This window comes from Homo sapiens, chromosome 1 (assembly GCF_000001405.40).
Source record: "Homo sapiens chromosome 1, GRCh38.p14 Primary Assembly".
NCBI lineage: Eukaryota > Metazoa > Chordata > Mammalia > Primates > Hominidae > Homo > Homo sapiens.
Window position 1 is genome coordinate 78,477,388 of NC_000001.11, and position 13,175 is coordinate 78,490,562.

The following is a 13,175-nucleotide window of genomic DNA, read 5'->3' on the forward strand; positions in this document are numbered from 1 at the left end:
AACTTAATTTCCTAAGGTTACAGAACTGGATGTAAGTGGAAGGGTTTAAATGTGAGTGAGCTTGGTCAGCCTGCTTTAGAGACTCTACTCAATAGAGGATTGCATGAGAACAATGGATTGGAGTCAAACAAGATGGCAGACAACTAGGAGGAGATTGTTCTATTTCAGGTGAGAGATGATGTCCACTTGGGCTTCATACATTTGTTTAGAGAATTAAATACTATAATATGCTTAAGGCACCTATTTTAATTTCTACTATATGGTGGGCAGTCAAAAATGATAGTTTTCCTATGCATATAGGGAAAATTGATATATGAAAGATGCATATTCCAGATTAGTGGAGAAGGCAGGGTGTATAAGGCTGCCATAACAAAGTACCACAAATTGGGTGGATTAAACAACAGGAATTCATTGTCTCACAGTCTGGAGGCTAGAAGTCTGAAATTAAGGTGGTATAAGTTTGGTTCTTTCTGAGGGCCATGAGTGAAGGATCTGTTACTCCTTACTTTGACTTGTAGGTGGCTACCTTCATGTTTGCACTGTGTTCTCCTGTATGGGTATCTGTCTCTAAATTTCCCCTTCTTAGAAAGACATTAGTCCTATTATTTTAGGGCCCACTGTAGAGACCTCATTTTAACTTGATTATCTCTTTAAATACCCCATGTCCAAATAAAGTTATATTCTGAGATACTGAGCATTAGCACTTCAACATATAAATTTTGGGGGAAAAAAATCAATTCATAACAGAAGAATTCTTTAATAATGGGACCACAAAAATTGGTTATCATATGGAGAAAAAAATCTAGGTTCTTACTTCACATCATATTAAAAATCATTATCTTAAGGACTCAAGATTTAAATGTGAATGACAGAAATGGTAAGATATTTAGAAAATATATACTAGAATATACTTATAATCTAGTATCTGGAGGGACTTTTAAAATGCAACACAAAAATGCTGAAATGTAACATGAAAGATGGGGTTTAAAATATTTAAATGTGATTACTTTAAAATTGAGGACCGTAAAAAAAGAGAGCATTAAGAAAATGAAAAAGCAAGCTGTAATTTGGATAAATATGTTTGAAATACATAATTTATAATGGATTAGTATCCAGAACATGTAAGGAATCAATAAGAAGACAACTCAATAAAAATTGGACAAAAGAAAACAGACATTTCATAGAAGAAGAAACAGGAATGGACAGAGAAATGTAATTTATGCCTACTATGTGATATTTTATAATCATCTGGTTGGTAAAAATTAAAAAGCTAGACAATTTCAAGCATTGTCATGAATGTGAATGAAGGGGAGCTCATATACACAGCTTGAGGGAATGTGAATTAATACAACAGCTTAACATTATCTTGTAAAGTTGAACTCTATGACTCAGTAATTTCACTCTAAGTCTATATTCTAAAGAAACTCTTCTTGTAGTATAGCTTGAAGTCAGGTAGCATGATGCCTCCAGCTTTGTTCTTTTGGCTTAAGATTGACTTGGCAATGTGGGCTTTTTTTTGGTTCCCTATGAATTTTAAAGTAGTGTTTTCCAATTCTGTGAAGAAAGTCATTGGTAGCTTGATGGGGATGGCCTTGAATCTATAAATTACCTTGGGCAGTATGGCCATTTTCACGATATTGACTCTTCCTACCCATGAGCATGTAATGTTCCTCCATTTGTTTGTATCCTCTTTTATTTCACTGAGCTGTGGTTTGTAGTTCTCCATGAAGAGGTCCTTCACATCCCTTGTAAGTTGGATTCGTAGGTATTTTATTCTCTTTGAAGCAATTGTGAATGGGAGTTCACTCATGATTTGGCCCTCTGTTTGTCTGTTACTGGTGTATAAGAATGCTTGCGATTTATGCACATTGATTTTGTATCCTGAGCCTTTGCTGAAGTTGCTTATCAGCTTAAGGAGATTTTGGGCTGAGACGATGGGGTTTTCTAGATATACAATCCTGTCATTTGCAAACAGGGAAAATTTGACTTCCTCTTTTCCTAATTGAATACCCTTTATTTCCTTCTCCTGCCTGATTGCCCTGGCCAGAAATTCCAACACTATGTTGAATAGGAGTGGTGAGAGAGGGCATCCCTGTCTTGTGCCAGTTTTCAAAGGGAATGCTTCCAGTTTTTGTCCATTCAGTATGATATTGGCTGTGGGTTTGTCATAGATAGCAAGGCTACTGTAACCAAAACAGCATGGTACTGGTACCAAAACAGAGATACAGACCAATGGAACAGAACGGAGCCCTCAGAAATAATGCCACATATCTACAACCATCTGATCTTTGACGAACCTGACAAAAACCAGCAATGGGGAAAGGATTCCCTATTTAATAAATGGTGCTGGGAAAACTGGCTAGCCATGTGTAGAAAGCTGAAACTGGATCCCTTTCTTACACCTTATACAAAAATTAATTCAAGATGGATTAAAGACTTAAACGTTAGACCTAAAACCATAAAAACCCTAGGCAGTACCATTCCGGACATAGGCATGGGCAAGGACTTCATGTCTAAAACACCAAAAGCAATGGCAACAAAAGACAAAATTGACAAATGGGATCTCATTAAACTAAAGAGCTTCTGCACAGCAAAAGAAACTACCATCAGAGTGAACAGGCAACCTACAGAATGGGAGAACATTTTTGCAACCTACTCATCTGACAAAGGGCTAATATCCAGAATCTACAATGAACTCAAACAAATTTACAAGAAAAAACCAAACAACCCCATCAAAATTTGGCAAAGGATATGAACAGACACTTCTGAAAAGAAGACATTTATGCAGCCAAAAAACACATGAAAAAATGCTCATCATCACTGGCCCTCAGAGAAATGCAAATCAAAACCACAATGAGATACCATCTCACACCAGTTAGAATGGCGATCATTAAAAAGTCAGGAAACAACAGGTGCTGGAGAGGATGTGGAGAAATAGGAACACTTTTACACTGTTGGTGGGACTGTAAACTAGTTCAACCATTGTGGAAGTCAGTGTGGGGATTCCTCAGGGATCTAGAACTAGAAATGCCATTTGACCCAGCTATCCCATTACTGGGTATATACTCAAAGGATTATAAAACATGCTGCTATAAAGACACATACACACGTATGTTTATTGCGGCACTATTCACAATAGCAAAGACTGGGAACCAACCCAAATGTCCAACAATGATAGACTGGATTAAGAAAATGTGGCACATATACACCATGGAATACTATGCAGCCATAAAAAATGAAGAGTTCATGTCCTTTGTAGGGACATGGATGAAGCTGGAAACCATCATTCTCAGCAAACTATCGCAAGGACAAAAAACCAAACACTGCATGTTCTCACTCATAGGTAGGAATTGAACAGTGAGAACACATGGACACAGGAAGGAGAACATCACACGCTGGGGCCTGTTGTGTGGTGGGGGGAGGGGGGAGGGATAGCATTAGGAGATATACCTAATGCTAAATGACGAGTTAATGGGTGCAGTACACCAACATGGCACATGTATACATATGTAACAAACCTGCACATTGTGCACATGTACCCTAAAACTTAAAGTATAATAATAATGAAATTAAAAAAAAAAGAAACTCTTCCACAAGGTGTTGGGTGCAAGACCATTCATAGTATAATATTTCATAAGAACAAAACCTGGGAAAATAACTTCATAGCTATTAACAGAATACTATCTTAAAATTTGAATGTCCTAACATTGGGATATTACAGATCTTTGTAAATGAGTAAACCACTGCTGCAAATATCAATATACATGCTTTAAAAAATCTTGCATAAAAAAGCAAGTTGCAGAAAATTTACAATCCAAAATAATTAATATATTGGCTCATCTGCATATCTGTATAACAAAACAATATAAAAATTCAAGAGAACTATGACACAATTCAGGATAGTGGTTATCTGGGGGAAAGATATAGAGAAATGAAATGGAGGGAGAGGCATATAGGCAGATGTAATACTGGTAATGTTCTAATATAGTCCTTGCTATGGATTGAATTGTGTCCATTCCAAAAAAGATTTGTTGAACTCCTAACACCTTGAATCTCAGAATGTGACCTTATTTGAAAATAGGGTAGCTCAGATAAAATTAGTTAAGATCATGTCATATTGGAGTAGGGTAGACCCCTAATCTAACATGACTGAGGTTTTTATGAGAAGACGGCTACATGAAGACAAAAACACAGGGAGAAGGGTATGTGAAAATAAAGGCAGAAATTACAATCATATTCCTCTGCAAGTCTAAGAATGTAAAAGATCGCCAGAAAATCACCAGAAGCTAGGCAAAGGCATGGAATAGATTTTCTCTCACAGTTCTCAGAAAGAGCCAATCCTGTCAACACCTTGATTTTGGACTTCTAGCCTCCAGACTCTAAAACAATACGTTTTTGTTGTTTAAGCTACCTAGTTTATAGTACTTTGTTACAGCAGTCTTAGAAAAATGAATACAGTTCTTAAATAAAGTGGCAGGTTCATAATGTTTATTTTATAATTTATAACTAACAAATGTGTACATATATTATTTTTTATATTTCAAGTAGTTACATAATAAAAATGAAAAGACAAAGTTATTATTTTTATCACTATGAAACAGTGGCATGTATTCACTATTAATCTGTTTTTTTTTTTGACAAGGTCTCACTGTGTTGCCCAGGGTGGAGTGCAGTGGCACAATCACAGCTCACTGCAGCCTTGGCCTTCCAGGCTCAAGTAATCCTCCCATCTCAGCCTCCCAAGTAGCTGGGACTATAGGCATATACCAATAAACCTGGATAATTTTTGTATATTTTTTTATAGAGATGGGGTTTCACCATGTTGCCCAGGCTGGTCTGTAACTCCTACGTTGAAGCCATATGCCCACCTTGGCCTCCCAAAATACTGAGATTATAGGCATGAGCCACTGTGCCCAGCCTCCACGATTAATCTTGATGGCAAATTCCAATAAAGCTTTTCTAGGCAATTTTATCAAAACTATGAAATCAACTTCCAGAACTCCTCTTGATTTTTATGGAACTTTTGTCTCAACCTCAGTGACACAGAGTCCCTGTTTCTCTGATTGTAATTACAGTGTGCCCATCTTCTGAGAGAAGTGTCTTGCCTGTAACCCTGAATGAAGGTGACTGGCAAGCACACACCTGTCATGGCATGTTATCTTCTTGTAGACAGGCTGACATCAGCTCTGCCTCTATTTAACACAAAAAGGACATCTAAAATCCTATCAAGATTTCCAGCATGCATGCTACAAAAGTAAGTGCTTTCTCCTAGCCTAGATGCCACACCAGAGCAGAGGCTAAGATGCCTTATTCATACAGCTGTGTTTCTGCCTCCTAGAAACGGAGTGCGGTGCAAAGTAGATGCTCAATGAATTTACTGAAGAATGTATGAATGAGTGGTTCTATTAGTGTCCACTTCTTTGAAACTATACAAGCTGCACTACTTTTCAGAAGGGTTTATCAGGCATCTCCCACTCTCCACAACATTTTGGTCTGTTAGTTCCTTTCATCTGTGGTTTCCCCAGGTTTTCTTTTTTATATAAGCACTCAAGGGTTGTCTTTGGGTACTTTGAATAGGGATCAGATTTGGGGCCCATAAGACCAGACACACATGTTTGTCTGTGTATGTGAGTTTTTTGTTTTCTTTTGAAAGTAGTTAGTTATTCTTCCTTTAGACTAGTAACATGCAGAGAAGAGATGGAGGTGCTGTAGACTCTTTTATTAATGCTCAGGTGAAATGTGTCTTGATTAAGGAATGGGTTCTAAAAAAGGAACACCAAGAATACATACAAAGTAGATATTGTTTTGAAATCGGATTTATCTAGTACTTTGAAAAAGAAATTAATATTGTTTTGAATATATTACATAATGAATGTTACAATTTGACATTGTATTTATGTGAATTTTTTTCTTGTTTTAAACACCCAGTAGCTAGAGCAGCTGATGTTAGTGAGATGCTCCAGTGAGAGCCTGAAAATTTTCAAAATCCTGAACTCTAATACTGGAAATACTGACTATAGCATTTATTAACTTAAGCAACATTTGATGAGTGGCCAGGCATTGTCCTAGGTGAGAATGAAGAGATGAACAAAACTTCTGCAGTAATTCATTTCAGTGGGAGACATAAGTAAACCAACAATTGCAATGTCATGTCATTAAGTGCTATTAATCATTAAAGGAAAGAATAGGAGGTGGGGCCAAGATGGCCCACTAGAAACAGTGGCGATTGGAGGCTCCCACTGAAAAGAACCATAATAAGCATGTGAATCTTTCACCAGCAACCAAGGTATCCAGGTTCTCTCATCAGAACTGACTAGGTGGCTGGCATGATCCATGGAGAGTGAGGAAGAGCAGTGTGGTGCGGCAGCCCACCTGAGAGCCACATGGGGCAGGGGAGATTGCCCTCCCCAGCCAAGGGAGGTGGTTAGTGACTGTGCTACCCAGCTGGGGAAACTGTGCTTTTTCCATGGAACTGTGCAACCATGGACTGGAAGATCCCACTTGCGAGCCAATGCCACCAGGGTCTAGGGCCCCAATCCCGGAGCCATGCAGATTCTCAACAGCCTCTCAGCTGGAATCCGCTTAGGCCGGCCAAGCTCCTGGGGGGAGGGGCAACCAGCACCAGAGCTGCAGCTGCCTGCTGTTTAAGCCATTTGAGCTCCTTGGGAGAGGGGCAGCACCCAGCGCTGGGACTCACAACTGCCTAACACGCTAAGCTCCCTGGGTGGGGGAAGGGCAGCATCCATCTCTATAGCTCCAGACCACACTTTTCCCCTGCTGGAGCCAGTGAGGCTGGATGGCTTCGTCCCAAAAGTTGTCTCCACAGCCTTACACACCAGCTGTGACAGACTGCAGCCAGAGCACCTCCTCAGGCCTGACCCTGACTCATCCTTCCTTACTGGGTGGGGCTTCCTGCAGGAACTCCAAAAATTCCAACCAGAGGCTCGGGGATAGAACCCCGATCTCCCTTGGCCTGAGCCCCTAGGGGAAGGGGTGACCGCAGTCTGTGGACCAGCAGAATTACCCTTTCCTCCTGGTAGTTCTGAGGAATCCAGGCAGCCCAGATGAGTGGGTTTCCCCCTAGTTAAGTACAGCCCCTCCACCAAGGGACAGTCAAAGTGCTTTGTTAAATGGGTCTTGTTCCCCGTGCCACCCAACTGGGTGAGACCCTCCAACAGGGGTTGTCAGAAACCCTATACAGGAGCGATCCTGCTGGCATCAGGTTGGTGCCTCTCAAGGTCAGAGATCCCAGAAGAAGGAGCAGGCACCCATCTTTGCTGTTCTCCAGCCTCCTTGAGTGACATCTCCAAGCACGGGAGTGAACCAGATGAATAGGGCTTGAAGTGAACCCCCAGCAAACAACAGCAGCCCTATAGAAGAGGGACCTGACCATTGAAAGAAAAACAAACAAACAGCAACAACAGCATCAACAACAACAAAAAGTCTTCACAAAAACCCCATCCCAGGGTCAGCAGCCTCAAAGATTGAAACTAGACAAACTCACGAAGATGAGAAAGAATCAATGAAAAAACACTGAAAACCCAAAAGGCCAGAGTGCCTCTTCTCCAAATGTTCACAATGTCTCTCCAGCAAGGGCACAAAACTGGACAGAGGATGAGATGGACGAATTGACAGAAGAAGGCTTCAGAAGATGGGTAATTAAAAAAAACTATGCTGAGCTAACGGAGCTTGCTCTAACCCAATACAAAGAAGCTAAGAACCTTGATAAAAGGTTAGAGGAGTTGCTGACTAGAATAACCAGTTTAGAGTGGAACATAACCTGATGGGGCTGAAAAACACAGCACGAGAACTTTGTGAAGCATACACAAGTATCAATAGCCAAATCGAACAAGCGGAAGAAAGGATACCAAAGTCTGAAGACCACCTTGCTGAAATAAGGCATCCAGACAATATTAGAGAAAAAAGAATGAAAAGGAAAGAACAAATCCTCTAAAAAATATGGGACATTGTATAAAGACCGAACCTACGATTGACTGGCATACCTGAAGGAGATGGGAAGAATGGAAACAAGCTGGAAAACACATATCAGGATATTATCCAGGAGAACTCCCCCAACCTAGGAAGACGGGCCAACATGCAAATTCAGGAGATGCAGAGAATATCACTAAGATACTCCATGAGCACATCAATCCCAAGACACATAGTCATCAGATTCTCCAACATTGAAATGAAGGAAAAAATGTAAAGGGCAACTAGAGAGAAAGGCCAGGTCACTTATAAAGGGAAGCCCATCAGACTAACAGCAGACCTTTCAGCAGAAACTCTACAAGCCAGAAGAGATTGGGGGCCAATATTCAACAGTCTTAAAGAAAAGAATTTTCAACCCAGAATTTCACATTCAGCCAAACTAAGCTTCATAAGTGAAGGAGAAATAAAATCCTTTTCAGAAAAGCAAATGCTGATGGATTTCATTACTGGCAGGCCTGCACTGCAAGAGCTCCTGAAGGAAGCACTAAACGTGGAAAGGAAAATCAAGTACCAGCCACTGCAAAACACAGCAAAATATAAAGCCTAATGGCACTATGAAGAAACTGCCTCATCTAGTGTGGAAAATAACCAGCTAGCATCAGGATGACATGATCAAATTCACAATAATAACACTAACCTTAAATGTAAATGGGCTAAATGCCCCAATTAGAAGACACAGACTGGCAAATTGGATAAAGAGTCAAGACCCATCAGTGTGCTGTATTCAGGAGACCCATCTCATGTGCAAAGACACACATAGGCTCAAAATAAAGGGATGGAGGAAAATTTGTCAAGCAAATGGAAAGTCAAAAAAAGCAGAGGTTGCAATTCTAGTCTCTGACAAAACAGACTTTAAGTCAACAAAGATCAAAAAAGAAAGAAGGGCATTATATAAAAGTAAAGGGAACAATGCAACAAGAAGAACTAACTATTCTAAATACATATGCACTCAATACAAGAATACCCAGATTCATAAAACAAGTTCTTAGAGACCTACAAAGACATAGACTCTGATGCAATAATAGTGGGAGACTTTAACATCCCACGTTGAACTCAGCTCTGAACGAAGTGGACCTAATAGACATCTACAGAACTCTCCACTCCAAATCCACAGAATATACATTCTTCTCAGTGCCACATGGCACTTATTCTAAATTCAACCACAAAATTGGTAGTAAAACACTCCTCAGCAAATGCAAAAGAACTGAAATCATAACAAACAGTCTCTCAGACTACAGTGCAATCAAATTAGAACTCAGGATTAAGAGACTCGCTCAAAACCACACAATTACATGGAAATGGAACAATCTGCTCCTGAATAACTCCTGGGTAAATAATGAAATTAAGGCAGAAATCAAGAAGTTCTTTGAAACTAATTAAAATAAAGAGAAAACCTACCAGAATTTCTGGGACACAGCTAAAGCAGTGTTAAGAGGGAAATTTATAGGACTAAATGCCCACATCAGAAAGCTAGAAAGATCTCAAATCAATACCCTAACATCACAATTTAAAAAAGCTAGAGAGGCAAGAGCAAACTAATTCAAAAGCTAGCAGAAGACAAGAAACAACTAAGATCAGAGCAGAATTGAAGGAGATGGAGATAAAAAAGCTCCAAAAAACCAATGAATCCTGGAGCTGTTTTTTTTAAATTAACAAAATACATAGACCACTAGCTAGACTAATAAAGAAGAAAAAAGAGAATAATCAAATAGACACTATAAAAATGATAAAGGGAATATCACCACTGACCCCACAGAAATAGAAACTATCATCAGAGAATACTATAAACACCTCTATGCAAATAAAATAGAAAATCTAGAAGAAATGGGTAAGTTCCTGGATACATACACCCTCCCAAGACTAAACCATGAAGAAATTAAATCCCTCAATAGACCAATAATGAGCTCTGAAATTGAGCCTATATAATAAATAAAATAAAGGGTATTCAAATAGGAAGAGAGCCTACCAAGCAAAAAAAAGCCCATGACCAGATGGATTCATAGCCGAATTCTACCAGAGGTACAAAGAAGAGCTGGTACCATTCCTTTTGAAACTATTCCAAATAATTGAAAGGGAGAGACTCCTCCCTAACTCATTTTATGAAGCCAGCATCATCTTGATACCAAAACTGGGCAGATACACAACAAAAAAAGAAAACTTCAGGCCAATATCCCTGATAAACATTAATACAAAAACCCCCAATGAAATACTGGCAAACTGAATCCAGCTGCACATCAAAAAACTAATCTACCATGTTCAAGCTGGTCTCATCCCTGGGATGCAAGGCTGGTTCAACATATGCAAATCAATAAACATAATCCATCACATAAACAGAACCAAAGACAAAAACCACATGATTATCTCAATAGATGCAAAAAAGGTCTTTGATAAAATTCAACATCCCTTGATGTTAAAAACTCTCAATTAACTAGGTATTGATGGAACATATCTCAAAATAATAAGAGCTGTTTATGGCAAACCTACAGCCAATATCATATTGAATAGGCAAAAGCTAGAAGCATTCCCTTTGAAAACCAGCACAAGACAAGGATGCCCTCTCTCATCACTCGTATTCCACATAGTATTGGAAGTTCTTGCCAGAGCAATTTGGCAAGAGAAAGAAATAAAGGGTATTCATATAGGAAGAGGGAAGTCACATTGTCCCTGTTTGCTGAGGACATGATTTTATATTTAGAAAATGCCACTGTCTCAGCCCAAAAGCTTCTTAAGCAGACAAGAAACTTCAGTAAAGTCTCAGGATACAAAATCAATATGCAAAATCAGAAGCTTTTTTTTTACACCAACAATAGCAAAGCAGAGAGCCGAATCATGAATGGGAAGAATAAAATACCTAGGAATAGAGCTAACAAGGGATGTGAAGGATCTCTTCAAAGAGAAGTATAAACCACTGCTCAAATAAATAAGAGAGGGCACAAACAAATGGAAAAACATTCCATGCTCACGGATAGGAAGAATCAATATCATGAAAATGGTCATACTGCCCAAAATAATTTATAGATTCAGTGCTATTCCCATCAAACTACCACTGACATTCTTCACAGAATTAGAAAAAACTACTTCAAATTTCATATGAAATCAAAGAAGACCCCATATAGCCAAGACAATTCTAAGCAAAAAGAACAAAGCTGGAGGCATCATGCTACCTGACTTCAAACTATGCTACAAGGCTACAGTAACCAAAACAGCATGGTATTGGTATCAAAACAGACATATAGATCAATGGCACAGAACAGAGGCCTCAGAAATAACATCACACATCTACAACCATCTGATCTTCAACAAAACTGACAAAAACAAGCAATGGAGAAAGGATGTCCTATTTAATAAATGATGTTGGGAAAACTGGCTAGCCATATGCAAAAAACTGAAACTGGACCCCATTCCTTATACCTTATACAAAAATTAACTCAAGATGGATTAAAGACTTAAATGTAAAACCTAAAATAATAAAAACTCTAGAAAAAAACATAGGTAATACCATTCAGGACATAGGCATGGGCATAGACTTTATGACAAAAACACAAAAAACAATGACGACAAAAACACACAAAAAAATGACAACAAAGGCCAAAATTGACACATGGGATCTAATTAAACTAAAGAACTTCTGTACAGCAAAAGAAACTATCATCGGAGTGAACAGGCAACCTAGAGAATGGGAGAAATACCTAATGTAGATGATGGGTTGACCACCATGGCACATGTATACCTATGCACATGTATCTCAGAACTTAAAGTATAATAATTTAAAAAAAGTTAAAATAAAATATTAATGACTTTCAAAGAAAAAAAAAGTCAAGAAACAATAGATGCTGGCGAGGCTATGGAGAAATAGGAATGCTTTTACACTGTTGGTAGGAATGTAAATTAGTTCAACCAATATGGAAGACAGCATGGTGATTCCTCAAGGATCTAGAACCAGAAATATCATTTGATCCAGCAATCCCATTACTGGGTATATACCCAAAGGAATACAAATCATTCTATTATGAAGACACATGCACACATGTGTTTACTGAAGCACTATTTACAATAGCAAAGTCATAGAACCAACCCAAATGCCCATCAATAACAGACTGGATAAAGAAAATGTGGTACATATACACCACGGAATACTACACAGCCATAAAAAGGAATGAGATCATGTCCTTTGCAGGGACATGGATGAACCTGGATGCTATCATCCTCAGCAAACTAGCACAGGAACAGAAAACCAAACACTGCATGTTTTCACTTATAAATGGGAGTTCAGCAATGAGAACACATGGACACAGGGAGAGGAACAACATGCACCAGGGCCTGTTAGGGGGTGGGGGGCAGGGGGAGGGAACTTAGAGGACAGGTCAATAGGTGCAAAAATTTCATGTTTTTTAAAAAAGAAAAAAATTATATATGCACTCACATATTTTAAAAAATAAAGGAAAGAATAGTACTCTGTGTCATTCATATTTTCAGTATAGCTTATCACATAATTGCCTTTTGGATACTGGCCATTCATGTATAATATTTCTCTAGTAACCAGGTTATCTAACCAAAATGTTTAATTCCCTCACCATAATTAAGTAACAGTTTAGTTTACCAGTTATGATCATATCATTTAAAAAAATCTCAATATCTACCACAAGGGAAAACTGCAATCATTCCTTTCTACAGTTAATGGCTAATTTATTTTATCCCGCTTTTTCATTTTTTGATCCCTTCCAATTTCCAGGAATTTAGAGGTCCCTTCTGGTTTTAGAACGGAGAAACAGGGTTCGTTTCCATGTGGTACTGATTTTTCACATAGGTAGTGGCAACATTTTACTACAATAAAAAGAGCAAAAGTCAATAATAGATTCACATAAGTGTTTAGCTACAAAAATGAGACACAGCTAATGGGTGTGTGTCGAAGCAATATTAGATAAAAGCAATTACAGAATAAAATGGCTCAAATCGTAATTCCTAATGAAAAATAGATTACTTCATCATAAATTTATCTCCACGAAATTTATTAGACGCATATCTCTTGGGGTATACATATCACTAGAAATTCTCTCTCCAGTGGACTTCTAAAATCACTGAAATATTACTAATCCCTTATCTGCAGGTGTACTTCAAGAAGTCATCTCATCCCTTTTCCTTTTCATATTCCTTAGAAAGCTGGAAACAGTCCCAGTCCTCTGTGT